This window comes from Homo sapiens, chromosome 7 (assembly GCF_000001405.40).
Source record: "Homo sapiens chromosome 7, GRCh38.p14 Primary Assembly".
NCBI lineage: Eukaryota > Metazoa > Chordata > Mammalia > Primates > Hominidae > Homo > Homo sapiens.
This window is the reverse complement of record NC_000007.14, coordinates 105644541-105672443: the sequence shown is the minus strand read 5'-3', so window position 1 is coordinate 105672443 and position 27903 is coordinate 105644541. Positions and strand designations below refer to the sequence as shown.

The 27903-nt window shown below is 47.0% G+C and overlaps 1 protein-coding gene across 4 annotated transcripts in view, besides 8 other annotated features; it reads left to right on the top strand.

Annotated features, from left to right (window-relative positions):
- ATXN7L1 (ataxin 7 like 1) overlaps window positions 1-27903 on the top strand; it is a 271828-nt gene that overhangs the window by 204156 nt on the left and 39769 nt on the right. For 3 of the 4 annotated variants that reach the window (NM_020725.2, NM_001385596.1, NM_138495.2), the window contains one exon: window positions 7156-7378. In NM_020725.2, the coding sequence (NP_065776.1) occupies window positions 7156-7378 (223 nt within the window). Of the gene's footprint in view, window positions 1-7155; window positions 7379-22883; window positions 23038-27903 lie in introns of all 4 variants that reach the window. The other variant, NM_001318229.2, reaches the window with a different exon arrangement.
- Window positions 7248-7542: an enhancer, noted in NCBI's record as "tiled region #5075; K562 Activating DNase matched - State 8:EnhW". NCBI's record gives its function as "activates a minimal TATA promoter and a strong SV40 promoter by Sharpr-MPRA in K562 cells {active_cell/tissue: K562}" and the evidence as "EXISTENCE:reporter gene assay evidence [ECO:0000049][PMID:27701403]".
- Window positions 7305-7498: a silencer, noted in NCBI's record as "fragment chr7:105305393-105305586 (GRCh37/hg19 assembly coordinates)". NCBI's record gives its function as "represses an EF-1alpha promoter that drives an FKBP-Casp9 reporter gene in an ReSE screen in phorbol 12-myristate 13-acetate-treated (for megakaryocytic differentiation) K562 erythroleukemia cells {active_cell/tissue: K562(+PMA)}" and the evidence as "EXISTENCE:reporter gene assay evidence [ECO:0000049][PMID:32094911]".
- Window positions 16146-16869: an enhancer, noted in NCBI's record as "H3K27ac-H3K4me1 hESC enhancer chr7:105296022-105296745 (GRCh37/hg19 assembly coordinates)". NCBI's record gives its function as "activates a minimal SCP1, AML or CMV promoter by ChIP-STARR-seq in naive and primed H9 embryonic stem cells {active_cell/tissue: H9 hESC(naive and primed)}" and the evidence as "EXISTENCE:reporter gene assay evidence [ECO:0000049][PMID:30033119]".
- Window positions 16146-16882: a biological region, named in NCBI's record as "Sharpr-MPRA regulatory region 7350".
- Window positions 16588-16882: a silencer, noted in NCBI's record as "tiled region #7350; K562 Repressive DNase unmatched - State 8:EnhW". NCBI's record gives its function as "represses a minimal TATA promoter and a strong SV40 promoter by Sharpr-MPRA in K562 cells {active_cell/tissue: K562}" and the evidence as "EXISTENCE:reporter gene assay evidence [ECO:0000049][PMID:27701403]".
- Window positions 19041-19764: an enhancer, noted in NCBI's record as "H3K27ac-H3K4me1 hESC enhancer chr7:105293127-105293850 (GRCh37/hg19 assembly coordinates)". NCBI's record gives its function as "activates a minimal SCP1, AML or CMV promoter by ChIP-STARR-seq in primed H9 embryonic stem cells {active_cell/tissue: H9 hESC(primed)}" and the evidence as "EXISTENCE:reporter gene assay evidence [ECO:0000049][PMID:30033119]".
- Window positions 23063-24262: an enhancer, noted in NCBI's record as "MED14-independent group 3 enhancer chr7:105288629-105289828 (GRCh37/hg19 assembly coordinates)". NCBI's record gives its function as "activates an origin of replication core promoter dependent on BRD2, BRD4, P300/CBP and CDK7 cofactors, and independent of MED14, by STARR-seq in HCT116 cells {active_cell/tissue: HCT116}" and the evidence as "EXISTENCE:reporter gene assay evidence [ECO:0000049][PMID:35650434]".
- Window positions 24273-24489: a silencer, noted in NCBI's record as "fragment chr7:105288402-105288618 (GRCh37/hg19 assembly coordinates)". NCBI's record gives its function as "represses an EF-1alpha promoter that drives an FKBP-Casp9 reporter gene in an ReSE screen in phorbol 12-myristate 13-acetate-treated (for megakaryocytic differentiation) K562 erythroleukemia cells {active_cell/tissue: K562(+PMA)}" and the evidence as "EXISTENCE:reporter gene assay evidence [ECO:0000049][PMID:32094911]".

The following is a 27903-nucleotide window of genomic DNA, read 5'->3' as shown; positions in this document are numbered from 1 at the left end:
GTTTAAAATGGCAAGTATGTGGGAATTTGATATGTATATGCAGAATAATGTTAGTTGACAAGGAATAGTCCAAAATATCCATTGATTACAGCTTTGTTAATCAAACTTACCTGTAGAAAAGAGAAACTAGTAGTGCCTCTCTTTTTTGGGGGGGGCAGGGGACGGAGTCTCACTCTGTCGCCGAGACTGGAGTGCAGTGGCATGATCTCGGCTCACTGCAGCCTCCGCTTCCAGGGTTCAAGTGATTCTCCTGCCTCAGCCTCCCGAGTACCTGGGATTACAAGCGCCTGCCATCACACCCAGCTAATTTCTGTATTTTTAGTAGAGACCGGGTTTTACCATGTTGGTCAGGCTAGTCTCGAACTCCTGACCTCGTGTTCCACCCACCTGGGCCTCCCAAAGTGCTGGAATTACAAGCGTGAGCCACCACGCCCGGCCGTGCCTCTCTTAAGGTATTGTAAGAATGAAATGCTATAAGGTAAATCAAAGTGTTTAGAAGAGTGCCTGGCACATAAGAAAAAAAAATTCTTTTTTTTTTTTTTTTTTTTTTTTTTGAGACAGGGTCTCACTCTGTCATTCAGGCTGGAGTGCAGTGGAACAATCTCAGCTCACTGCAGCCTTGACCTCCCAGGCTCAAGCAATCCTCCCACCTCAGCCTCCTAAGTAGCTGGGACTAAAGGCACACACCTGGCTGATTGTTTTTAATTTTTTGTAGAAGCAGGGTTTCACCATGTTACCCAGCTAGTTTTGAACTCCTGAGCTCCAGCAATCCACCCGCCTCAGCCTCCCAAAGTGCGGGAATTACAGGCATGAGCCACTGTACCCACCTGAAAAATCTTAAAACTATTATTACTATTGATCAAAGGACAGAACGGGTGAGAGCAGAGGTTGCTGGCTGAAGATCATTCACTGAGGTTGTTATTGATGTATTGAATACTTAATTCTGCACGGGTGTTCTGATAGTGATTTTCTGTTTTTCCTAAAGTAGGTGAGTGGTGCTTATATTCAATATTAGCACAGTAGATTGGTTTGGTCTTTCTGTTACACGGTCTGGAAAGAAATGTGTAGCAAGAGCTATAAAGCTGCAGCCTTTCACTTTGGGAATTATACCTCAAGGAAATAATTCTGAATCACTTTTTAAATAAATTTTTTTTTTTTTTTTGAGACGGAGTCTCACTCTGTTGTCAGGCTGGAGTGCAGTGGTGTAATCCAGGCTCACTGCAACCTCCGCCTCCCGGGTTCAAGTGATTCTCCTGCCGCAGCCTCCTGAGTAGCTGAGATTACAGGCACCCGCCACCACACCCGGCTAATTTTTTTTTTTTTTTTTTTTTTTTTTTTTGAGACGTAGTCTCGCTGTCGCCCAGGCTGGAATGCAGTGGCGCCATCTTGGCTCACTGCAAGCTCTGCCTCCCGGGTTCACGCCATTCTCCTGCCTCAGCCTCCCGAGTAGCTGGGACTAACAGGCGCCCGCCACCTCGCCGGGCTAATTTTTTGTATTTTTAGTAGAGACAGGGTTTCACCGTGTTAGCCAGGATGGTCTCGATCTCCTGACCTCGTGATCCATCCGCCTCGGCCTCCCAAAGTGCTGGGATTACAGGCGTGAGCCACCGCGCCCGGCTACACCCGGCTAATTTTTGTATTTTTAGTAGAGATGGGGTTTCACCATGTTGGCTAGGGTGGTCTCAATCTCTTGACCTTGTGATCCACCCACCTTGGCCTCCCAAAGTGCTGGGATTACAGATGTCAGCCACCACGCCCGGCCAAATCAGTTTTTTTTTTTTTAAAGATAAATAGTAGGTAGACAGCAAGAGAGTAGCTAAATAATCTGCGCCATGTTAATGATTGAATATTACCTAACAGTTTAAAATAGCAAGTTTGTGGGAATTTGATACGTATATGTAGAATGTTAGCTGACAAAGAATAGTCCAAAATATCCATTGATTGCAGTTTTCTTAATAAAGCTATATGCATTAACGAAGACTAAGAAAATTTAGAGGAAAGTGCTCTTTTTCTCTAAAATTGCTTAAGTATTAAATATTTTAACAATGAGGGATATCATGTACTACAAATTCTTTCTGGGCAGGGCAAATGGAATTAGAATAACTATAGGGATCTACCTTAGGCAGTCCCTTAATCAAAACATAGAAAGACATGATTGAGCCTCAAGTGGGTGAAGGCTTGTATCTGAATGATTGTAATGTACAGCAGGAGAGCTTCACTCAGAGAAACCTCACCTGCACAGCAGCGTCTTTTTGCAAAAGATAAGACCCTGCCTTCTTCTATCACTAACCTAACCCGCCTCCTCACCAACGCAAAACTGTGTAAGTCCACTACAGGCAGGTCTTCATAGACTAGAGAAACAAAGATTGAATAGGTCTTTTTGTAAAATCCACTCACTCTGCCCTACCTGGGACATCAGTTCTACCCATTTTCAAAAGCCTAGCTACAGCTCACCTCCAGAGTGAATCCCTGACCACTGACTCTATTGGTCCCTCCACTTTAATTTTTTTTTTTTTTTTTTTTTGAGATGGAGTTTAGCTCTTGTTGCCCAGGCTGGAGTGCAATGGTTCGATCTCGGCTCACTACAACCTCCACTTCCTGGGTTTAAGCGGTTCTCCTGCCTCAGCCTCCCGAGTAGCTGGGATTACAGGCATGCGCCACCACGCCCAGCTAATTTTGTATTTTTAGTAGAGACAGGGTTTCCCCATGTTGGTCTGGCTGGTCTCAAACTCCCAGCCTAAGATCCACCCGCCTTGGCCTCCCAAAGTGCTGGGATTGCAGTCGTGAGCCACCGTGCTGGGCCTTTAAATTCTTATATGACCTTTCTCACCTGCACTGGTAGGGGACAAGCTTGTTCCCATAGCTCAAGGGTTGTGAGAGCCCTTCTGATTTAATTCAGTTTCACAAGTAGGACATACTGCTTTCGCCTATTTATTACAATACAAAATCACACATCAAACAACCAAAAAAAACTTATATTAAGGGCAAAGGGCTGTCTTCAGGTTTTAATTAATATTCCCTCACTGCAACTTGTTCTTTCAATTGACAATTTAAGGCAAGTTTCTGAATCTAAAATATGAAACCAGGCATGGTGGCTCACACCTGTAATCCCAGCAGGCGGATCACTTGAGGTCGGGAGTTTGAAACCAGCCTGGCTAACAAGGCGAAACCCTGTCTCTACTAAAAATACAAAAATAAGTCAGGCATGGTGGTGCGTACCTGTAATCGCAGCTACTCAGGAGGCTGAGGCAGGAGAATTGCTTGAACCTGGAGACAGAGGTTGCAGTGAGCCAAGATCACGCCGCTGGACTCTAGCCTGGACAACAGAGCGAGACTGTCTCAAAAAATAAAATATGAAACCAAGAAAAAAGCTTATCCACTGATACAGTTGTTTTGTGGGCCAGATGTGGTAGCTCACCTGTAATCCCAACATTTTGCGAGGCCAAGGCAAGAGGATCTCTTGAGCCCAGGAGTTCAAGACCAGCCTGGGAACATAGAGAGACTTTGTCTCTGCAAAAAAAAAATATATATATATGTTTTCAGAGAGAGTCTTGCTCTGTTGCCCAGGCTGGAGTGCTCTGGTACAATCACAACTTGCTGTAGCCTCTACCTCCCAGGCTCAAGCGATCCACCCACCTTGGCCAGCCAAAGTGCCAGGATTATAGGCATGAGCCACCATGCCTGGCCTTACCAAAAAAAAGTTTTAATTAGTAAGTAACCGGGGCCAGGCGCAGTGGCTCATGCCTACAATCCCAGCACTTTGGGAGGCTGAGACGGGCAAATCACTTGAGGCCAGGAGTTCAACACTAGCCTGGCCAACATGATGAAACCCTATCTCTACTAAAAATATAAAAATTATCCAGGCGTGATGGTGCATGCCTATAATCCCAGCTACTTGGGAGACTGAGATCTTGAGAATCTTCAGCCTTGATTCTCCCAGGCTCAAGAGAAACTCTTGAGGGAGGTTGCAGTGAGATGAGATCCTGCCACTGCACTCCAGCCTGGACCACAGAGCAAGACTCTGTCTCAAAAGATCATATTAATTAGCCGGGTATGGTGGCACATGCCTGTAGTCCCAGCTACTCAGAAGGCTGAGTTGGGAGGATCGCTTGAACCTGGAAGGCAGAGGTTGCAGTAAGCCATGATCGTGCCACAGCAATCTAGCCTGGGTGACAGAGTTTTTTTTCTGTCTCAAAAAAAAGGTTTTTTCTGTAAATTTAGCAGCAGAATGTGTCAGCCAGAACCACTAACGAGAATTCTTTTAGAAGGTGATTGTAGAATCACTGGCCTGGCACATTTATTTTGTCCTTCATGGCACACTTCCTTGTGATTTATCTTTGTTTACTTGCATAATTTTTAACCCTTAGTTTAGCAAAATAAACGTATCTTCATTATTCAGGTTTATCTCCCCACCTAAACCAAGAAATATTTCTGTACATCCCACACCCACCCACCACCAGCTTTGAGTAAGTAATAGCAAAGGAGTGAATGAAGACTGCAGAAAAATCTAAAGCAGTAATGGTAAAAATTGAAATCTTGTTTTCATATTGGAAGCCTCTGCCGAAAAAGAAATTGCTAAACAAGACATTTCTGAGAGGCAGAAAGTCGATAGACTTGAAGTTAGGAGACTTGGTTCTAGTCTCAGGATTGTCGCTAACTAGCTTTAACCTGAAGGCTGGCAACTGATAACCTCATCTATCAGAAAGATCATACTAGTTGACTTTTTTTTTTTTTTTTTTTTTTTTGAGACGGAGTCTCGCTCTGTCGCCCAGGCTGGAGTGCAGTGGCGGGATCTCGGCTCACCGCAAGCTCCGCCTCCCGGGTTCACGCCATTCTCCCGCCTCAGCCTCCCAAGTAGCTGGGACTACAGGCGCCCGCCACTACGCCCGGCTAATTTTTTGTATTTTTAGTAGAGACGGGGTTTCACCATTTTAGCCGGGATGGTCTCGATCTCCTGACCTCGTGATCCGCCCGCCTCGGCCTCCCAAAGTGCTGGGATTACAGGCGTGAGCCACCGCGCCCGGCCACTAGTTGACTTTTAAGATACAGTTCTAACCTTTAGTGATTCTAAGTTCTGCATTTTCTAATTTCCTGGCTTCGAATTTTATTCACCTAGTTTCCTGCCTTCCTGAGAGGCAGGTAGGCCCATGTACTCAGCACAGAGGCACCCTGATCCTTGAGTAGCCCTGACCCTGGCAATCACCTCACCTCTCTGGGTCTCCTTTGGCCAGTCAGCCATGAGGAGGGTGGAGACCCCTGGCTGCTTCCTGCCTGTGTCACAGGGGTTGTAAAAGCCAGTACAATTTTACAAAGGACGAATTCCCCCAAGGAAGATCTTGCCTGAGTAAAATTGTTCAATATTTTGGCTGTTATTACTGCTCTGACATCCAGGAATCATGAGAGATGAGAAGGGAAGGAACAGGTGTAAGTATCCCTTGTATTTATGGTGATTGAGTGGAAGGAGGCTTCGAAGCCATCTAGGGACCCACTTCATTCACAGATAAAGACACAGGAACCAAGGAAGTTTAAGTGGTAAACTGAAGGCCACGAGCCTAATACTGTGTATATGCGGTTGGAGTGGGAGCCCAGGTCTCCTGGCTCCCAGCCCTCAAAACAGAGGCCCCAGAACTAGCTCTTTGTTTTCAAAAGCTTCAACAGGATGGCTTCTGAGAACTAAGCTGTATGCAAAGGTCTACTCTGATTCAATGAGGAAAAAGCACCCTGTAAACTTATTCTTTGTAGGCAGCATATGAGCACTGGTCAAGCAAAGAAACCCAGCAATTGGATGATCCTCAAAAATCTGCTTCCTCCTAATTCCCATTGCATCAGAAGACTAAATTCAGTCTGCTTTGAGACAGCCTGGCAACCCATTGGTACAAGGGAGTACAGAGAAAAACCCCAGACTCCTGTCGCAGCTGGCCACAGGTGGGAGGCTTGCATCTCCCAGGTCAGGGTGCCTGCAAAAGCAACCAGGAAAGGTGCCCTAATGAGAGAAGCCTAGGCTCAGCTTTGGGCTGGAGAGAGAATGATCTGTCATCTTTGCCTGTCACATTTTGCATTATCAAATTCAGCCAGATTTTCAGATCTCTAGTTCAGGAGAACTGTTATAATTTCATTTATTTATTCAACACATGTTAATTAAGCACTAATTATGTGTGAGACATAAGAGAGCCAGAGAGGACTTAGGGTTTCAGGAAGCTTTGTCTTTTTTAGGGTTTGGGATTCCTTCCTGTAATCATGTACAAAGTTTTTGGGCAGGTGTAAAAGTGTGTTTTGCTGGGTTCTTAAATTTTTATCAGATCTGTTATTCTAAAACAATTTAAGAACCCCATAGCGGGTGCACACTAGAACTTTACTTCATGCATCTGCTCTCCTGGTCAGTATCCTCATCCTGCCCATTCAGTCGAAAGCACAGTGGCTAACAGAATGTGAACAAGTGAGGCATCTCTGCCCAGAGCTCTGGTATTCTCTGTAGAACCTCAGGAAGTTGTGCTCGCCGGCCCAAGTCCATGCCCCACATTGCAGATTCTGCCTCAAGCGTTGACATCCTCCTGCATGTGGCCCTCAATCTCTGTGGACCCTGAGGAGGCCATAGCAGGGGTGTGCTGACACTGTCCTCTCAGTCCCAGGACAGCTGCTGGGCCACTTCCTCGCTTGCAAAGTCCTTTCGATTCAAGCCTGCTGGTCCGTCTTACTTTAGTGCTCCTGCAGATTGTCAGGTTCAAGAGTTTCCTGTTTGTTAAGAGTCCTGCCCTGTCCACTGCCCTGATGGACCTGTGGCCTCTGTGTAGCTGTCTAGGAATTGCTTTGGCTATGTGTGGTTGTCCCACTGTTCAGATGACACCTGGTGTCCCTCTGCTACTCCTGTGGAAGTGGTTTTGCAGAAAGATGGCCTGGTAAATGCCTCCCATGAGAACCCTGATGTTAGTTGAGCATGCCATTTGATACAGAAACCCAGAACATAATTATTGCTAGCTGGTGGAATAGGAGCATATGTCAAGACAAATCGTCTCATCAGAACCTAGGCTTCAGGAATGCCAGTGCTGTAGGGAAAGCGCTTCTCTCCGCCTGTTGTGTGTTTGAGTGTATGTGAGTGTGTGGGAGCCTCACCTGCTACAGATGCTGTGCTGAGTTCTCTACTTTCTGCCCCTGTAGAGAGAAGACACGGTTCAATGTGTAGACCTTCTCCCTCTCCAGTGTCTCCAGCCTCCAATCCCAGGACATCACTAGTACAGGTGAAAACAAAAGCCTGTCTCAGCGGCCATCACTCTGCCAGCAGCACCTCAAAGCCATTCAAAACGCCCAAAGACAATCTACTTACCTCCAGCAGCAAACAGCACACAGTCTTTCCTGCGAAAGGATCAAGGGATAAACCATGGTGAGTCAGCTGGCTGGCAGCCAGCTGCTGTCTGTCCCCCCTGCTGTTCCTGTCACCATGGGGAAATAGTATTTACTCTCTGGCTTTGTTCCTAGGTGTCACATGCAGGAATTTGGGGGACTGAGGAATGAAAGGACAGAAACCCAAAATGATGGAAAGATAAACCTAAATATTAGAGGGCATGTGGGACCTTAAGAGTACCATATGGGCCACGCTCACACCTGTAATCCCAGCACTTTGGGAGGCTGAGGTGGGTAGATCACCTGAGGTCAGGAGTTTGAAACCAGCCTGGGCAACACAGTGAAACCCTGTCTCTACTAAAAATACAAAAATTAGTCAGGTGTGGTGGCACACACCTGTAATCCCAGCTACTCAGGAGGCTGAAGCAGAATTGCTTGAACCCGGGAGGCGGAGTTGTGGTGAGCCGAGATCACGCCACTGCACTCCAGCCTGGGTGACAGTGAAACTCTGTCTCAAATATATATATATACACACACATACATAATATATATATGTATATTATACATATATATATTATACATATGTATATATATATTATACATATATTATACATATATGTATACATATATTATACATATACACACATACATATATATATATATTTGAGACAGAGTAGATATATACATGTATATACCGTATGCCTGACGGGGGATTTTTTTAATTCTCTTGAGAGTTGAGCCAAGTTGTGTCTAAGAAAAGGGTAACAGGGAAATATTTCTCAGTTCTGCTGCCACCTCTCAATTTTCCACCCCAGTGAAGAGAAGCTCTGGTGTAAAATCAAAAGCACTGACAGTGTGCCTGGTGTGGAGCAAGACCACGGCCCTACCCGCAACACTGGGTCCCAGGTCCTGTGGAATAGTGGAATAGCCACCAGCAGAGGCAACTAATTGGGAGCTGACCATGGGAGAAAGAGAAGAAAGCCAAGTAGAAGGTCACCCCTTTGGGGGAGTGGGCTGTGAAAATTCAGAGGCTTTTGGCCAGGCGTGGTGGCTCATGCCTGTAATCCCAGCACTTTGGGAGGCTGAGGTGGGCAGATCACTTGAGGTCAGGAGTTCAAGACCGGCCTGACCAACGTGGCGAAACCCCATCTCTACTAAAAATATAAAAATTAGCTGGGCATAGTGTTACACACCTGTAATCCCAGCTACTGGGGAGGCTGAGGCAAGCAGGAGAGTTGCTTCAACCCGGGAGGCAGAGGTTGCAGCGAGCCGAGATTGTGCCACTGCGCTCCAGCCTGGATGACGAAGTGAGACTCCTGTCTCAAAAAAAAGAAAAAAAAAATCTGAGGCTTTTAATTCATTTTGTTATCTCAGCCCTTACTAAAAAGTCAGAAAAGGTTGCCTGTGGAAAAGACAGCTAGGAAACCAAACTTAAAACAAGGAAGATGAGTATCTTCAAATGCTGTTGGCACCCACCTTGGAGTACTTAAGGAACTGGCTTCTGACAGCACCTCTATGCTTATCTTTCAAGCCTTGAGAAGACAGAGAAGGGATAAGTGTGGAGTCCATCTAATTTATGTATTTAAAGAAAAAAAGTGTTCCATTAATTGATGACAGTTAATTGCACTTAAGTTCGTACCTAGGCAAGCTGTAGAGTAAAATCATCCATCAATGGGTTTGTCACTGCACACTGGAAATTATGATAACTTAGTAAAGAGCTAATTATGTCAGATCAATTACAGAGCCTCTTGTGATGGAGTGGAAAGGTGTAGGCATGGCTGTGGAGGAGTTACCTGCCACACAGCTGGGCCTCGTGGGCAAGCTTTGTTCTCCTTGGGTTGTTGGGATTGCGGGTCCATCCTGCAGGAGGCTGTAGCTGGTTAGGGAAGACTCAGCCGGAGAGTGGTGTTTGCCCACCCACCGGCGATGTGAGTCTCCCAGTCACTAACCTGCAATCCGTCTTATCTGTGACCTGAGAATGTGCCTGAGAGTTTATTTACTGGGGCTGCATGGTGTCCCGATGTAACCACAAGCTCTGGAGTCACTGGCCTGGGCACAAATTTCAGCTGGGTGACCTTGGGCAAGTTATTTGATCTTATTGTGCTTCCATTTCCTCATCTGTAAAGTGGGGCCAATAATAGCTCTATTCCATGGGATTGTTGTGAGGATTAAGTGAGCTAGTTTTTATAAAGCAGCAGGCACAGTATCTGGATCATAGTATATGTTCAATAAATAATTTAGCATAACGTCATGGTTATTATTACTATGTTATCATGTGTGCCAAAGGACAGCACTTCCATCCTGGGATAAAGATTGACAAGTCAAATCTCTCTAAAAAAAATTAGAGAAATGGCTCTTCAGACTCAGAGTGAAGATAAAAATGATCAAATAATTTATTCAGAGTCTAGAAATGAGCTACAGAGAAACAAAATAAGGAAAGCCAGGGAAGGAGCACATAAGCCAGGAGGAGACCCAGGGAGCTCGGGGAAGATCATCAATGAACTCTCCTTGTAAAAGAGCAAATGAGAGGTCTCATGTAGCCCCATGGCACCAAAAAGCACTCGCCCAAAAGGCAAACCTTCAGGGAGACCATTGGTTCAAATCATTGTCCACACTCAATCCAGTCCAACTCAACACACACTTCTTAAGACCTGCCACAGTCAAGTCCCCTTCAGCTAGGGGCAAAAAGGGGCAGAAAGAATCTGACTGGGCGCAGTGGCTCACATCTGTAATCCCAGCACTTTGGGAGGCCGAGATGGGCAGATCACAAGGTCAGGAGTTCAAGACCAGCCTGGCCAACATGGTGAAACCTCATCTCTACTAAAGATACAAAAAATTAGCCAGGCGTGGTGGCACACACCTGTAATCCCAGCTACTCAGGAGGCTGAGGCAGGAGAATTTCTTGAACCTGGGAGTTGGAGGTTGCAGTGAGCCAAGATCGCTCCATTGCACTCCAGGCTGGGCAACAGGGCAAGACTCTGGCTTAAAAAAAAAAAAAAGAAAAGAAAAGAAAAGAAAAGAAAGAAGGAAGGAAGGAAGGAAGGAAGGAAGGAAGGAAGGAAGGAAGGAAGGAAGGAAAGAAAGAAAGAAAGAAAAGAAAGAATCTAAAGAAACTAGCCCAGGTCCAGAGATGAGCAACCAAGAGATTTGTAAGGAGAGAGATAGCTCGTAGTGAAAAGACTCGAATGTTCACCTGTGGGAAGAAGAGAAAGGCACGGGCAATTTGCCATGCCTGCAAGTCGGTAAATATTCTGAGGACAGAACCAGTGGTGCACCATGAATGAGGCTGAACCATGGACTGCAGCGGTCTCCTAACTGTCCTCACCTCCCATCTGCCTGGCTGTCATCCATTTACCCAACACGTCCAGGAACATGTGTCAGGGAAGAGATAGAGTCACCAAGGCTGGGATGATTTGGTTTTGAGCCTTAGAGGGCTCAGCCTCAGTTCTGAGCTATCCCAGAGTGCAGCTCCCCAGAGTGCAGTTCCCCAGACCTGTACTGAGCTAGGAGTAAGAAAATCAAATTCAAGTCTGGGCCCTGCCTCTAACTTTCTGTGTGTCCTTGAAAAAGTCACTTTACTTCTCTGAGTCTCATTTTCAAGCCTGAATATTTTGAAATTCTATATCACAGTCCTATCAAAAATTCACAAAGTTCCTCACTGCCTCCTGAATTAAAGAGTTAGTCCCTCAGCCCAACATAACGGACCCTCTACAAACTAGCTGCAACCACCCTAAGTCAATACTGAGTATCCAATACCACCCTATTAGGCCAGATTTCCCCCCATCTCTACCCCTGGTACCTTTGCCTAGAACATCCGTCCATCTTTACTCAACATTTAATGAGCACCTATTGTAATACTGTGTGCCAACTCTATAACAAGCACAGGGGATACACAGGGCCCACTGGTGTCACACAAGCACCTTTGTGCAAATTAGAAAACAGTCTGGATACAGGCCTGTACCAGGTGCACAGTTGACTAATGGCCTTCATCCACTGCTTATTTCCTTAGCCAGGCATCCTCTCACAGTGCATAACCTATACAACTGTACACTGCAGCCCTGGGGATACAAAGTTAAGACACAGACATTGTCTTAGGGAGTCTGTAAATAGAAACATAAGCTAACACAGTACAAAGTGATAAGGACTATGAGGTTGGTAGCAAAGGAGAAGGGTACCTAACCCAGGCTGAGGACTCAGAAAGGGTTTTTCAAAAGAGGTCACTTCTGGCCAGGCATGGTGGCTCACACCTGTAATCCCAGCACTTTGGGAAGCCAAGGCAGGTGGATCACGAGGTCAGGAGTTCAAGACCAGCCTGACCAACATGGTGAAACCCTGTCTCTACTAAAAATTCAAAAATTAGCTGGGTGTGGTGGTGCGCACCTGTAATCCCAGCTACTTGGGAGGATGAGGCAGGAGAATCGCTTGAACCCTGGAGGCGGAGGTTGCAGTGAGCCAACATTGCGCCACTGCACTCCAGCCTGGGCGACAGAGCAAGACTCTGTCTCAAAAAAAAAAAAAAAAAAAAAAAAGGTCACTTCCGCTAAATTAGAAGGACAAGTAGTAGGAAGGAGGTAGACAAAGAGAATGGAATTAGAATGGTAAATTTTTAATGTTATGTCTATTTTACCACCAAAAAAAAAAAAAATTCTATCTAAGAGAGTTGGAAGGGTGTCCTAGGCAAAGGGAACAGAATGTGCAAAAGTATTTGCATGTGGGGAGAGGCAGGATGTGAAACTGGGTAGGGGAGTGAGGCCCAGATTATGAAGTTCTGCTGTATGTGTTAAGTTCAGGAATTTGGACTTCACCCTGGAAATTTCAAAGCGGTGTTAAAGGAGCAGTTTTCTCATGTAGTCTGGTCACCTTGACAGCCACGTAGAATGATGGCTCGGGGGGTCACACAGGAAGCAGCAAGAACGGTGAGGATGTTGTGTCACCCAGGCGAGGCGTGGTGACAGCCTGGATCCAGGCAGTGGTGTGTACGGAGGGGCTGGGTGAGATAAATATTAAGGAGGGAAAACTCCGCAGGACTTTGGGGCTGGTCATATGTAGGGCTGGAGTACAAGGGAAGGCATTACGACAGCAGAGTTGTGGTCCTGCCGCTTCCTCAAGGGAAGGACAGTAAGGGCCAGAGTTGAGGGAGGGAAAGGAAGGATGAGTTCAGCTGGGAAGTCAGTGGATTTTGAAGTATCTAAGAAATATCTACACGTCTCAAAAAAAAAAAGAAAGAGAAAAGAAATGTGAGTGGGCATTGAATGTTTGGAACCAGGGGTCAAGAGATAGGTATGGGCCAGGACTAGAGAGTCATCAGTGTAGACGTGGGCATGGAAGCTGTGGGTACAGATGGGCCTGCCAGGGAGGTATATGGTGTGAGAAGAAGAAGAACAGAGGCCAAGGGTGGTGCCATGGAGGATTGGGACAGGGAAAGAGGAGTCTGAGGGCACTGGGTCTGCTAAGCCCGGTGTCTCCACAGCATTCAGTCCCCTTCTCTCCTGGCCATAATCCTTACCATTCTTATTGCCCGTTTCACTGGCTACCTTCTCTCAATGCCCTTTCCTCATTCACTTCCTCCTTGCCAACAACCTGATATGCTATCGCCTTTCTTTTAATCCCCGGAGCACTTAATTTTTACCTCACATGTGACACTTTCTCTGGTCGGCCATAGACTCCACTTCCTGTCTTCCTCCTGCCCAGTAGTTACTGCAGGGCCTCCTGTATGGAAACCTCTCACCAACTCAACAAGCGTGGTACTCGTGTCAGTAAATATTTGTCGAATTGAATGAAATGGATGTGACCATTGAAAGGGATTCTGAGATTTCCATTCCTGGAGATGGCTGACCTTTTGTCTAGAATTGTTTAGACTAGCACTATCCAATAGAAATGTAATGTGTGACACACATGTTAATTTTACATTTTCAACAGCCACATTGGAAAAAAGTACAAAAGAAACAGGTGAAATTAATTTTTTTTTTGAGTCGGAGTCCTGCTGTGTCACCCAGATTGGAGTACAGTGGCGTGATCTCAGCTCACTGCAACCTCTATCACACAGGTTCAAGCTATTCTCCTGGCTCATCCTCCTGAGTAGCTGGGATTACAGGTGCCCACCACCATACCCAGCTAATTTTTGTGTTTTCAGTAGAGACGGGGTTTCACCATCTTAGCCAGCCTGGTCTTGAACTCCTCATGATCCGTCTGCCTTGGCCTCCCAAAATGCTGGGATTACAGGCGTGAGCCACCATGCCCAGTCATGAAATTAATTTTTAATAGTAGTCATTGGCCAGGCATGGTGGCTCATGCCTGTAATCCCAACACTTTGGGAAGCCGAAGCGGATGGATCATTTGAGGTCAAGAGTTCGAGACCAGCCTAGCCAACATGGTGGAACCCCGTATCTACTAAAAATACAAAAAAAAATAACCAGGCATGGTGGCGCATGCCTGTAATCTCAGCTACTCGGGAGGCTGAGGCAGGAGACTTGCTTGAACCTGGGAGGCAGAGGTTGCGGCGAGCCAAGATCCTGGCACTGCACTCCAGCCTGGGCAACAAAGCAAGTGAGACTCCACCTCAAAAAAAAAAAAAAAAAAAAAGTTATGTGCCACATAACAGCGTTTTAGTCAACAGCAGTCCCATAAGATGATTATACCCTATTTTTACTATAGCTTTTCTATATTTAGATATGTTTAGACACACAAATACTTACACTTATATTACAATTGCCTACAGTATTCAGTACAGTCACATGCTGTACAGGTTTGTAATCTAGGAACAAGTGGCTATACCATACAGCTTAGGTTCAAGCACCTTTTATACTTGACAGGACAGAATCCTGCCCAGACCGGCAAGAAGAGGGTAATCCATTGGAAAAGTGGAACTGGTCACTTTTTTTTTTTTTTTGAGATGGGGTATAGCTCTGTCGCCCAGGCCAGTGTGCAGGGGTTTGTGTTAGTTCACTCTACAATGTTAGCATGACGAAATGACCTCTCATTGCATTTCTTAGAACATAGCCCCATCATGAAGTGACACATGACTATTTTCTTTAACCTAATATATTCAAAATACTATCATTTCAACATATAACCAATGAGATAGATTACATTATTTTCTTTTCATAAGTCTTCAAAATCCTGCATGTGTTTTATTACACTTACAGCACATCTCAATTTGGACACTAAATTTTCATTAGAAATATTTGACCCATTTTTAGGTTTCATAAAAACTAAAGGTTATAAAATAGATTGACACCCAAGTTGTTCTAAACAGACTTAAACATTTTCTAATAACTGAATCAAGTATCCGTTCTTAAATTTCAACAAACTCAGCTTAAATGAAATTTAAAATCCCGTTCAGCCACAGCCACAGTAGCCACTTTTTTTCTTATCTTTTTTTTTTTTTTTTTTTTTTTTTTTTTGAGACAGGGTCTCACTCTGTCACCCAGGCTGCGGCTGGAGTACAGTGGTGCAATCTCAGCTTACTGCAGCCTCAACCTCCTGGGCTCAAGTGATCCTCCCACCTCAACCTCCCAGGTAGCTGGGACGACAGGCACACACTACTGTGCCTGGCTAATTTTTGTGTTTTTGTAGAGTTAGAGTTTCACCATCTCGAATTCCTGAGCTCAAGGGATCCACCCAACTCAGCCTCCCGAAGTGCTGGGATTACAGGTGTGAGCCACAGTGCCTGGCCCCCACAGTAGCCACATTTTAAATGCTTAGTAGCCTGAAGTGGTTAGTGGCTGCTGGATCTAGACACATAGGCCACTGACCCTGGGTGGGACCCTCTGGTTTTTTCAATTCAATGGTGTGTCAATTGGGCTCCTCTAATCTCTTTAAATGTTACGCTCCCATCAGGAGTTGCTAAATTCCAACTCCTTTCTCCCCTTGGCCTGGTGCTGCTGGGTCTGTGGTGGAAACAGACCTGGAAGACCTGCATCAGGCGGTGCAGAGAACTCCCTGCCCAAGTTCGTTCCATTGCTCCAAGTGAACTCTGTATCGCCCCCTACTGGCCAAGAAAGCATAAGCAGTGCCAACCCATACTGGACCGTGGCCCTTAGATTAGATTTAACAGCAGGTTAGGGCCACCCTTTCCAAATAGCTCAAATTCACATGTACAGCAATAAAAACACTACTCTAGAGTTCAGGCTGACCTCCTGGCATTCCAGCACAAGGTTAAATGGTCTGTGGTTTTGTTATTTTCTCCTTTATGTGACTGAGTAGCTTAAAAAAATAACTGCATTACAAGAAAGGGGGAGGCCGGCGTGGTGGCTCACGCCTGTAATTCCAACACGGGAGGCCGAGGCGGGTGGACCACCTGAAGTCAGGAGTTCAAGACGATCCTGGCCAACATGGCAAAACCCTGTCCCTACTAAAAGTACAAAAATTAGCCGAGTGTAGTGGCGGGCACCTGTAATCCCAGCTACTTGGGAGGCTGAGGCAAGACAATCGCTTGAATCTGGGAGGCAGAGGTTGCAGTGAGCCAAGATCACACCACTGCACTCCAGTGTGGGTGACAGAGCGAGACTATCTCAAAAAAAAAAAAAAGGAAGAAGAAGAAAGGGGAAAACAGAGCATTGCCATGTTACCAGGTTTGTTCCCTGCAGAACTGCCTGACAGCACCCACAGGCTGCCCAGCATCCCCAGCCCTGTACTCAGCCTCTCAGAGGCCCCTTCCACTGGTTCACTGTCCTGACAGTGGGGACCACCCCTGTGGGAGCCAGAGGTCAGGGGGTACCTGGCCACCATCTCACAGTGTTGACATCTATGTAGTTGATGACAGTGGAGGGAGGTGGGCAAGAAGACTCGGTCCCCACATAAGAATCAAGAAGGAGTTATGGCTGTTTGGCCCTTTTGAGCTCCGATGAGCATTTCAGCCTTTACTTATGAGTCCCTGCTCAGCCATGGGACCAGACCCTGGCACAGTGACCGAGTCAGCCAGTCTGACTCTCTCAGCTGCTATCACTTCGGTAACCCTGGTCTGGCCTGGCGAATTGATGGGGAACTCAGACCCACAGTTGTAGGCTGAGGTGGGCAGGAGGCAGAGAGGAGGTAGGAGGAGGATTTCCTCCCCTGGATGGCTTGTTGCCTTCTCTTTGGGCCTTATCAACCCACACGTGTGTGTTGAATGCTAAATATGCTCAGCTATTAAAAATGCAGAAGATGAGCCCGCTGCTCCAGGAGGAAAATGAGCCAAAGCAAAAGAAAAATCAGCAGGCTCCCTGGCCTCCCTGTGCATGCCCTGCAGCAGGTGGGGGAGGGCTCCCTCTCCCCAGGTAGGCGGGGCTCCTCTCCAAATGCTTGGAATTACCAGGCGGGTCTTCCCGGAGCAACTGGGGCTGAGGGAGTGTAAGCACTCTGGAAGTCTTCCCAACGCTTTATGGAGAGGGAAGCGATCACTGAGAGGCCCTGGCCAGATGCCTGTGGGAGAAACTGGGCGGCTTATCTCTTCCTGCCTGGTGCTGGCGTGAACTGGGGGCAAGACCAAGGCTCAGGATTGATGGCTCCCTGAAGACACAGAGAGTCGTCTCAGGCTGTGAAATACGAGCAACCCAAGGAGCCGCAGACACTGCAAGGACCCTACCCCTGTGACTGCCCTGCATTCCTCAGCAGGATTCTTGCAGTTGCCTCTCCCTGGCCTCCTTGCCCCTCACTCTGCCCATCCTCCTGTCCACCCCACACACCCCCCCAGAGTGATGTGAGCCCGTTCTGCCCACAACTCTTTGATGGCTCCCACTTGTTTGCCTACAGAGTAGAAGTTTAATGTTTTTGTAATGGACTTCAGAGGGAAGGGGTAAGAGAGGGTGGGAAGGTAGACAGACCAGAATATTGAAGCATGTGGGGGCTGCGGCTGGGGGCAGAGTGTCCCTTCCAGGACAGGGAGGCCGTGGGAATTTAAACATCTAAGGCTGCCTGCTCACTGGGTTTTCAGATGAGCAAAGGTAAGGACAATGGACAGCTCCTTGGGTGTAAATGCAGCCAACCTTGTGAAGTCACAGAAGTGCTCAGAAATAGGGAATCCAGCTTTGGGAGGAAAAGTAAGACCAAGACAGCTGGGGAAGGAAGAAAATGGCCTGAAGTGTCCAGTCACTGTGGCTCACGCCTGTAATCCCAGCACTTTGGGAGACTGAAGCGGGCAGATCGCTTGAGGTGAGGAGTTCAAGACTAATGTGGTGAAACCCTGTCTCTACTAAAAATACAAAAAAAAAAAAAAAAATTAGCCAGGCGTAGTGGTGTGTCCCTGTAATCCCAGCTATTTGGGAGGCTGAGGCACAAGAATCTCCTGAACCTGGGAGACAGAGGTTACAGTGAGCTGAGATTGTGCCACTGCACTCCAACCTGGGCAACAGAGCAAGACTCCGTCTCAAAAAAAAAAAATGGCCTGAAGGAAAGAAGAGGGATGAGCCACAGAGATTAGTAACCATGGTCCTTCATAGCTGCATAGCTCATTATGATTTTTAGATGTTTTGATAGCCCAATCCTATTTGAGCCTAAAGACTATTTTGTGGTGAAGATAAGAAAACAGAGCCCAAAGAGATGAAGCGATGGGCTGAGATTACATACACAGTGGGACAGCAGAGGAGCTGAGACTTGACCCCTGGCCTTCTGGCTTCCAGTGCTACAGTAAAGAGCACCACCCTCGGTGTTGCCTGACGTCAAGCTCTCTCTGCCCTTCATTTTGTGGAATGACCTGGGGCAAGCCTTTCTCAGCCTCAGGCTCCACATCTATGAAATTGGGGATAGAGATTAAACACGGTATTGCACGTGAGTGCATAACTCACTGCTCATGCATGGTAGGTGTGCAGCATGTGCCGCTATGAGCGGACACTTCACCTTTGTCATTGCACAATCTCTTCTCAGAAGAGGAGAGGCAGCACAGCCTGATCCCCACCTAAAGCATTTGTTCTTACCAAGCATTGGTGGGGTGCCAGTTTGGTTTTTATTGTGTTATGTGATTTAACTTCCACTGAGAACATTAATTCATTCATCAAACATTTATCGAGCCCTTCCTAAATGCTAGATAATGTATAGGCTGCTGGGATAATTCCAGAGCGACATGTATACTGGGACAGGGTTCCCATCATCAGGCAGCTCACAGTCTGGTCAGGACACATAGATGTAGAAATAAAACCTTGCCATAGGACATGATGAGTGCAGCAGAAACACCTAGGAAGGAACAGCAGGCACTGGGAGAGAAGAGGATGTTTCCTCCGGATCTGGACAGATGGGGGAGTGTTCACCTGGAGAATGGGGGAGGGCACACCAGCAGGAGAGCCCGGCCCACAGAAAGGCACAGAGCCAGGCCGGAGCACTGGTGTTCAAGGAGAAGTGAGAAGTCCAGCGAGGCTACAGGAGAAGGTGGCTGGGGCAGGAGGGGTGGGGTGGGCCAGGCTGTGAAGGTTACACTTGGACCTCTGGGCCTTGGGCAGCCCACAAAGACTTTCATGGTCAGATTTGCGTTGGTGGCTGAGTGCAAACAGATTAGAACACACAGAGAGGCCAAGCCAGAAAGGTTGCAAGCGATGCTGAGGCCTGGACCTTTTAACAGCTGTTTAAGAGGTGGACTTTGGTCAGACTGACTTGTGAGTGACTGAATTTCAGGGAAGAGCTGGTTTCTAACTGGATGCTGATATTGTTAACATAGAGTTTTTTGGTTGTTGTTGTTTTTGTTTGTTTGAGACAGAGTCTCTCCCTGGCTTCTAGGCTGGAGTGCTGTGACACGATCTCGGCTCACTGTAGCCTCCATCCCCTGGGTTCAAGCAATTCTCCTGCCTCAGCCTCCCAAGTAGCTGGGATTACCGGCATACACCACCACGCCTGGCTAATTTTTGTATTTTTAGTAGAGACGGGGTTTCATGATGTTGGACAGCCTGGTCTCCAACTCCTGACCTCAAGTGATCCACCCACCTCAGCCTCCCAAAGTGCTGGGATGAGCCACCATGCCCGGCCTGATATTGCTAACATAGAGATTAAAAAAGAAAAAGTCTATTTAATTTGGAACAAAGAATATCCTGAGTTTGCTGTAGGTCAGTGTGAAGATAAACTTTTTTTTTTAATATGGCAAAAATGCCATTCAGAATAAACCCTTGAGGGTTTAAAAAGAAAATGTGCTTTGTTTTCTGGATGGAGGTGGTTCAGGTGCAAGGCTGCCTGCCCAGAACCGGATTCTAATACAAAAAAGGAAAAAGCAGAGTGAGTGAGTGATGCCTGGGGGAGGGAAGGTGCTCCTGAGGGCTTTTCCTCTGGCAGGAAACTGGGAGCAGCAGGTGTCAGGGTACCTGGCCAGAAGCTGGAGCACTGATAAGTAGCCTGGGATGCTTTGCCATTTCCTCATCTTTCAGCGTGCTCAGAAAAAGCTTCTTGAAGGCCAAAGGCTTAGGATGGGAGCCCAGGGTCTCTGCTCAAGGTGCCAGCTCCCAGCCTTCCTGGCAGGGGGATGGAGGGTGTTCTGTAAGGAGTTGCCCTGTCTCCCCTTGGGTCAGGGTTTCCTCCAGGACTGTTGGGAAACAGTAACTGTCTGGGCTGTACTGGCTGGAAGGCACTGCAGAGCAGCCTACAGCTCGAACAGCAGGAACCAATGACCTCTGGTGGCTGCCGAGGGGAGTGCTCCCGCTTGTTGCTCCTGAGCGGAGCCTGTTCTGGGCCAGTGCTGGGGACAGGGTGCTTGGGGCTCTGCCTCACCCTGCACCAGCGCTCCCTGCAGAATCAAATTGCCTCCTAATCTCTACGTTCTCAATTCCTGCCCTCCCAGGCTCTGATACCATTTCCTTATTGATGTGAATTTCAATGGCCATTCATTGGAATTGTGTGGCTCTTCGTTCTCATTTGCAGAGGAAAGGCACTGAGCAGGTGCAGTTGATTAGGTCTAGGGTTATCCTTAAAACGCTCCTGGACTCCCTGCCCAAGGCTACACTGCTGCAGACACAGCTGGTCCCAAAGGCAGCCTGTGCAGCATCCTATGCCCTACTGCATGAGGGCTCGATTTTTCCTTTTTTATCTTCTCCTCTTCTCTGACTTGCTGACTTGTTCACAGTCCTAGGGCACTAGGACTCCCCAGGAATGTCAGGACACTTAGCACTCCTTATTCTCCCAGCAGGTTTGGAGACCACCTTCTGAGCTCCATGCCCTGGGAAGCCATGAATAACAGAAGTACAAGAGAGACTAACAGACCAGCAGGGAGACATGCGCTGGGGCCTCCTGCTTCCAGAAAATTGGAGCAGCCTAGAGGGGGGCTTATAGAGTTATTTCTCTGGGAGGCATCTTAGAACCAGCAGAGAGCCCCAATGCCTAACATACTTCAGGATTGCAGGAGACAACATGTTTGTGCATGAGGAGGCTGGAGTTCCTCCTTACTCCTCTTCCAGAATGTCCTATACAGATGGGACCTTTAACCACTAGTCCAGGCTTAAGCAGTGCCTAGAATACTAGAGATGGAGAAGCAGGTGGGCTTGTGAAGTAGGGCTGACAGGTCCTGGAAAAGGGCCATTGAATCTGGCCCCACCTCGTTCTGCTTTTCTTCCTCACTGCCTCACCCAGAAGGAGTCCTCTACTCTGCATGAATGTGGAAGGCTGCTGCTCCCACCCTCTGCTGGTGCTTCTGCCTCCACCCTGTCCACCCCTCCTTCCACGGTGGGACCAGAAGGGACTAAGGAAGCAGAAGTTTTCTGATGGTGACCATGATTTGCACCCCACATATATACCTTTCAAGTATCGGTGGATGAGAGCAGATGCTGGGATCCTCTGTGCCCTTTTGGTTTAGTTAGAGTTTATTGAGAGTCTGCTATGTGCCTGGCACTATGCTAAGCACTTGGTATCTACTACCTCATTTAATCACTTCAAATATCTCTTATTATCTTCATTTGACTGATAAGGAAACTGAGGCATGGAGCCAGGAAGGCCTGAGATAAGTTAGGCAGGGCAGCCACATATGTTTGTGTGGGCTTTGCACTGCATGAGACCACCCCACCAAGGCAGGACTGAAACCAGCACTCACTCCTTGCCAGGCCAGGTGTCCTCTTTCTCATTCTTAGAGTCCTGATAAGCTCACTGAGGCTCTGAAACCGGGTAGCCAGAAGGCTGTGATACCGTAATGCATCCAGCAACAGAAAAGGCAGGATTTGAGTCTAGGTTGGTCTGATTTGAAAGCCTATATTTCTAAGCCTTATCTAAGCCTTATAAACTATCTTCCAACACTCCACATTCTATAAATTTGCCAGAATATTGACAAGGCACAGACCTTCAATTCAGTCATACTTGTTCTCCCTGATTTTATTTGATTTGCTTCTGGCCATTTTTACAATTCTTCCAAGTCAGCTTGTTCATTTTTCCTCCCACCTAACTGACTCAGGAGGAAATCTCACATCATTGTTCTCAGCAGCTAATCATCTCTTAACCCAATTGAGGAGCAAAGTCTTGGCCCATCATCCAAGTCACTGATGAAGACACTATGACCTTCTTGGCCGGCAGTGGGTCCCTGTCGAGCTCTGCATGGTATCACTCTAGGCTGAAATTGAGCCCTGCTAACCCATTTTTCTTTTGTCTCTGCTGCCAGGACCACTCACCTGGTAACTGTGTGGTCTGACCACATTTCCCCAGTTTACTGAAGGTGTGTTATGTGGGAGAGAATCCAAAACTGTGCAAAGGCCAGGAGAGATTAGACACTATGCTTCCTCTCTAACCACCAGGCCTGACACTCAGCCACAGAATAATGTTAGATTTATCTGGCAGATATTCTTATTTACCATGCTCTGTGGTTGAATACCTGTTTTCTGTTTGCTAAAGGTGTTTACAGACAGGCTTTCTGAAAGTTTTCCCAATATTTTTCCAGACACACCGCAAAAATACCATTTATTCACTTGTCAGGATTTATGCAGTATCAACTGTATCTGTCATACCACGGTAGTAGGACTTTGTGTCTCTGTTATTTACCCTGATTCTTAGTGATTGCCTGCCCCTCAGACTTCTAGAATCTCCCAAGTACTTCTTCAACTTAAAGAATTTAGATTGGATATAAATAATTTCCTCATAGTAGCTGCCAAAATACATCCAAGAGAGCCAAATTGAATTCCTTCTCCAAGGGCATTTTAAAAGAGGGTAAATTCCTTTTTATTGGGGATGACTTAATGCTATCACTGCTTGGAAGCCAAGAGGCTGGGTGATATGGCCCTTCTAAGGCTCTGCCAGTGAGTCAGAGATTCTCAAAATTCTGCCAGGCCAGCAGCATAAGCACATAGGCTTTTGTCGAAGGAATTGGTGGAGGAAATCAGACAGCTGAGAACTCTCATCACACACAAAACCCACAGCACAAATACCATATGTCTTCAGGCTCCTGCCTGTCAAATTCATCTTTACCGTGCTCTGGTAAGTGAAGAAGGGCTGGCAATAATTTCTGCAGACCTAGAGACATTCAGAACCATTCTCTTAAGGCATTTCTGTTGATAATCAAAGAATATAGATCATGATCACCAGGAAAGCGTAGCTGGCAGGTGGGCAGCTGGCCCTGCGGCACATTGGTGGCTCTTGCAATGGCACCGTCATGAGTCTCCACCTCTGTTCTTTTGCAGACATCACTGGGCAGGGAGGGGAATCTACTTGATGCCAAGAGAACCATGTTTCTTAAAGCCAGAGGACCCGCCTTGATCTAGAAAGATAAATTCAGACAGGCCAAGCACAAAGGAAGAAGACGTGGGCAACTAAAGCAGCACAAAAGAAACAGAGGTAGATATCGCCCCCACGTAGCAAGGGGGATGAGGGAGGGTGTTCTCGGCATTGGGTTTCTTTCCCAGGACCGAGACAGAGGTACAGAGATGATGAGGAGAGAACTACTCCCAGCATATTAGACACAGCAGGGGAACAGGCTGCAGCCCTGAGCTCTCTGAAAGAGTTCATCCCAAGTGAACAAAACAGGCATTATGAAAGCAGCAGGGGAAGAGTGGAGACTCATCTTTCCCTTTCAAACACTGCTCCACAAAGAAAGGACAATCGTGAGTTGATAAATGCAACTAATTGTGCGACTTTGGGAAGTGTGCACATGCATCCTTTAGACTGAAGGGAAAGGAACTTTGAAGGGCTTTGGCTAAGCTCGGGGGTAACTGCCAGGCTTGTTTGTCACCTAAGCAAACAGTGTAATAAATTGCTGAGTCACCCATCAGGCTATTGCCAACTCACCACCCCCTCCCAGGTCTCACCACCTGCACATGGAGGTGTTTGCGTTACTGTGATTAGACACAAAGAAGATGGGAGATGCCCATACTGTGAAAGCAGGGGTTAGAACCTTTTGGATTCTTTCCAAATGGAAAAAAAAGTCCAACCTGTCATTCAGGGTCCACAGCCATCTGGAAGGGGCGTGCCCAAGGCTGGGACACTTTCCTGGCTGGGGAAGGTGACAGCAGAGGAAGTGAGGGGGATGCACACGGGGCCAGTGAGAGGAAGCAGAGGACAATTCCGAGACACTGGCTTCCCTGTGACTGCACTGTGGCTGCAGCATAGGCACACGCGGGATCTGTGTGTATGGGAGGTGGGGGGTGGGGCTCTTAATAGGCTCTTATGTCAGCTGAATGTTTTTGCTCAAAAAGCATCATCTCTGGGATTGGCTTTCCAGATTCTGTGGCACTATCCTGTGACCGTTTCCTCCTTTGCTTTCTCAGTTCAGGACTTTGGGGCTGTTGCCAGCTGTAGTAAAGAAAGGCTGGCCCGATGGCTAGCGTGTATACTGGGGAAGAGGATGGCAAGGTCAAATGCCTTTCCCACCATCACTCAGCTGCCTGCTTCTGTGTCTTCTCAGTCCAGGCCAAGGCAGGTTCCCTTAGAGAGAAAGCCCAAAGCTTTTGAGGGAGAGAAGGGACACCAAAGAAAAAAGTATCAGGGACAGCTCTAGGTTCTTCTCCTTCACTCTTCTAAGCCCTTCTCCATTAGCTAATGAACACCCTTAGAACACACCCAAAAGAGCGCAGTCTCCCTTCTCTCCTTCTGCCAAGTCCTTTTACCTCACATCAGAGGTGTTCACTCAGTGGCCCAGCCCCTTACCAACTCACCTGGTCTTTGAAATCTTTGAAACATTCTTGATCAGACTTTTTTCCCCAATGCTTCCCATTCTTCAATCCAGAGGACTGCACGTGAGGCTGTCTTTCCTGTTTCTGATGGGCTCCAATTTCGCATCCAGCTGAGTTCTGGAATCATTGACAGTAGAGTATGATTGGGCCACACTCATTATAAAGCAGAAAAAATTCCAAATTAGGAGACAGTCACAGACATTAGCTGGCCTGGCCCAAGCTCAGTTACACACAGTTGGGAAGAAGTGTCACCAAAGAGATGAGTCAACTGGCACGGTTCCAAATGTTGGGACCTGGTGCACCTGTGCTCGTGGGGCTGCCTTAAGGAGCACATTCAGAGCCTGACGTTGACTTTAGAGGAGTAATGCAGACTGTGCTATGAGCATTTGAGGGCTGCTTGGCTTGTTTTTGCTGTTTGTTTGTTTTTGAGACGGAGTCTCGCTCTGTTGCCAAGCTGGAGTGCAATGGCGCCATCTCAGCTCACTGCAACCTCCGTCTCCCAGGTATAAGCGATTCTCCTGCCTCAGCCTCCCAAATAGCTGGGATTACAGGCATGTGCCACCGCGCCCGGCTAATTTTGTATTTTTAGTAGAGACGGGGTATCACCATGTTGGTCAGGCTGGTCTTGAACTCCTGACCTCAGGTGATCCACTCGCCTCAGCCTCCCAAAGTGCTGGGATTACTGGCGTGAGTCACCGTACCCAGCCGGTTTTTTAAATGTATTTCCATTTGTACAATTGCTCTGGATTATTCTATCCCAGGCATCATATCTTTGTCTGCTGAAGGCCTGAGGACCTAACATCTACATAGGGCATTTTTCACAGAAACTAGAGGCGTTATGTTAACTCGTACCAGCTCATGCAACAAGAACTAGATCTGGAACTTGCAAGTTCTAATTTCCTTTCCTGAACTAACTTGGCTTCACAAAGAAATATTAATACATCAGAGAAGGCTGCCCAGGTACTAGAGCACCTTCTCTTCTTGCTAGCTGTCCATGTGTTCATATCAACACTTGAAGTTTGATTTTTTTCCCTAAAGAAATAAAAGTCAACAGATCAGAACAAGGGTGAGAAATTAAATCAATAAATCTTTTTGAACAGAACAGATTCTTCTAATTTTTTTTTTTTCCAAGACAGGGTCTCACTGTGTCACCCAAGCTGGAGTACAGTGGCACAATCCTAGCTCTCTGCAGCCCCAAACTCCTGGGTTCAAGTGACTCTCCTACCTCAGCCTCTCATGTAGCTGGTACTGTGTGTGTCCACCAACGTGCCCAGCTTATTTATAATTTTTTTTTTTTTTTTTGTAGAGACATGGTCTCACGGTGTTGTCCAGGCTGGTCTCAAATACCTGGCCTCGGCTGGGAGCAGTGGCTCATGCCTGTAATCCCAGCACTTTTAGAGGCTGAGGCAGGCAGATCACCTGAGGTCACGAGTTTGAGACCAGCCTGGCCAACATGGTGAAACCCCATCTCTACTAAAAGTACAAAAATTAGCCAAGTGTGGTGGCGGGTGCCTATAATCCCAGTTACTTGGGAGGCTGAGACAGGAGAATCACTTGAACCCAAGAGGCCGAGGTTGCAGTGAGCCGAGATTGTGCCACTGCACTCCAACCTGGGTGACAGAGACACTGTCTCAAAAACAAAACAAAACAAAAAAACACCTGGCCTCAAGCAATCCTCTCACCCTGGCCCCCCAAAATCCTAGGACTACAGACATGAGCCACCATACCTGGCCAATATGTTTGGGTTTGGGGGGTGCCAGTGGGGTCAGGGGGGAGTTGAGACAGGGTCTTGCTCTGTGCAATAGCATGATCCTAGCTCACTGTAACCTCAAACTCTTGAGCTCAAGCGATCCACCTGCAGCCTCCCAAGTAACTAGGACTACAGGCACATGCCACCATGCCTGGCTAATTTTTATTTCTATTTTGTAGAGAATGGTCTCGCTATGTTGCCCGGGCTGGTCTCAAACTCCTAGGCTCAAGCAATCCTCCCACCTCAGCCTCCCAAAGAGCTAGGATTATAGGCATGAGCCACCACAACTGGCCACTGACACTTTTTTTTTTTTTTTGAGACAGAGACTCGCTCTGTCGCCCGGGTGGGAGTACAGTGGCATGATCTCAGTGCACTGCAACCTCTGCCTCCTGGGTTCAAGTGATTCTCCCACCTTAGCCTCCTGAGTAGCTGGGATTACAGGCATGCACCACCACCCCTGGCTAATTTCTGTTTGTTTGTTTGTTTGTTTGTTTGTTTGTTTGTTTGTTTGTGGTGGCGTCTCACTCTGTCTCCCAGGCTGGAGTGCAGTGGCACTATCTCGGCTCACTGTAAGCTCTGCCTCCTGGGTTCACGCCATTCTCCTGCCTCAGCCTCTGGAGTAGCTGGGACTACAGGCGCCCGCTGCCACGCCTGGCTAATTTTTCTTTTTTTTTTTTTTTTTGGATTTTTAGCAGAGACAGGGTTTCACCATGTTAGCCAGGATGGTCTTGATCTCCTGACCTGGTGATCCACCTGCCTCGGCCTCCCAAAGTGCTGGGATTACAGGCGTGAGCCACCACGTGTGGCCAATTTCTGTATTTTTAGTAGAGACGGGGTTTCACCATGTTGGCCAGGCTGCTCTTGAACTCCTGACCTCAGGTGATCCACCCGCCTCAGCCTCCCAAAGTGCTGGGATTACAGGTGTGAGCCACTGAGCCCAGCCTCTGATCTGTATTTTTAAAGTCAGGTTTATTGAAGTATAATTTAGGTTGTAAGAGTTTTGTAATTTGCATTTTTTTTTAGTTTGTACATGTAAAACATTTTTAATTGTGGTAAAATAAGCATAACATAAAATTTACCATATTAACCGTTTTTAATGTACATTTCAGTAGTATTAAGTACATTCACACTGTTGTGCAACCAATCTCCAGAACTTTTTTTTCCATCTTGCAAAACTGAAACTCTATACAGTTGTTCAACGGGCATTAAAAAAAACTGCCCATTCTCCCTTCCCCATCCCCTGGCAACCACTGCTCTGCTTTCTGTCTCTATGAATTTGACTACTCCAGGTACCTCATATAAGTGGAATTATACAGTATTTGTCTTTTGTGACAGGCTTATTTCACTTAACATAATGTCTTCAAGGCTCCTGCCCGTGTCAGAATTTCCTTCCTTTTTAAAGCTGAATGATGCTACATTTTGCTTATCCATTCATCCATTGATGGACACTTGGGCTGCCTCCACCTTTGGCTATTGTGAATAACGCTGCTATGAACATGGGTGTACAGATCTCTCTTCAGGACCCTGATTTCTTAACTTGTGGCTTTTTAAATGTGTCAAGGAATAAGCCTAGAAGAATTCTGTATCACATTGCTTTGCATCTTTTTATCATTTGGGAAAAATCAGGAATGCAGCACTAATTTCACCAGGTAATACCTGTCTAGCATCTTGGTGTGCTCACTCTCAAAGGGTTTCTTGTGCCATTCTTCAGTGATATGGGAGTGCTTTGAGAATTGCCATTAAATAGAAAGGAGCAGCAGTTCAGCTCTATCTCAGACATTG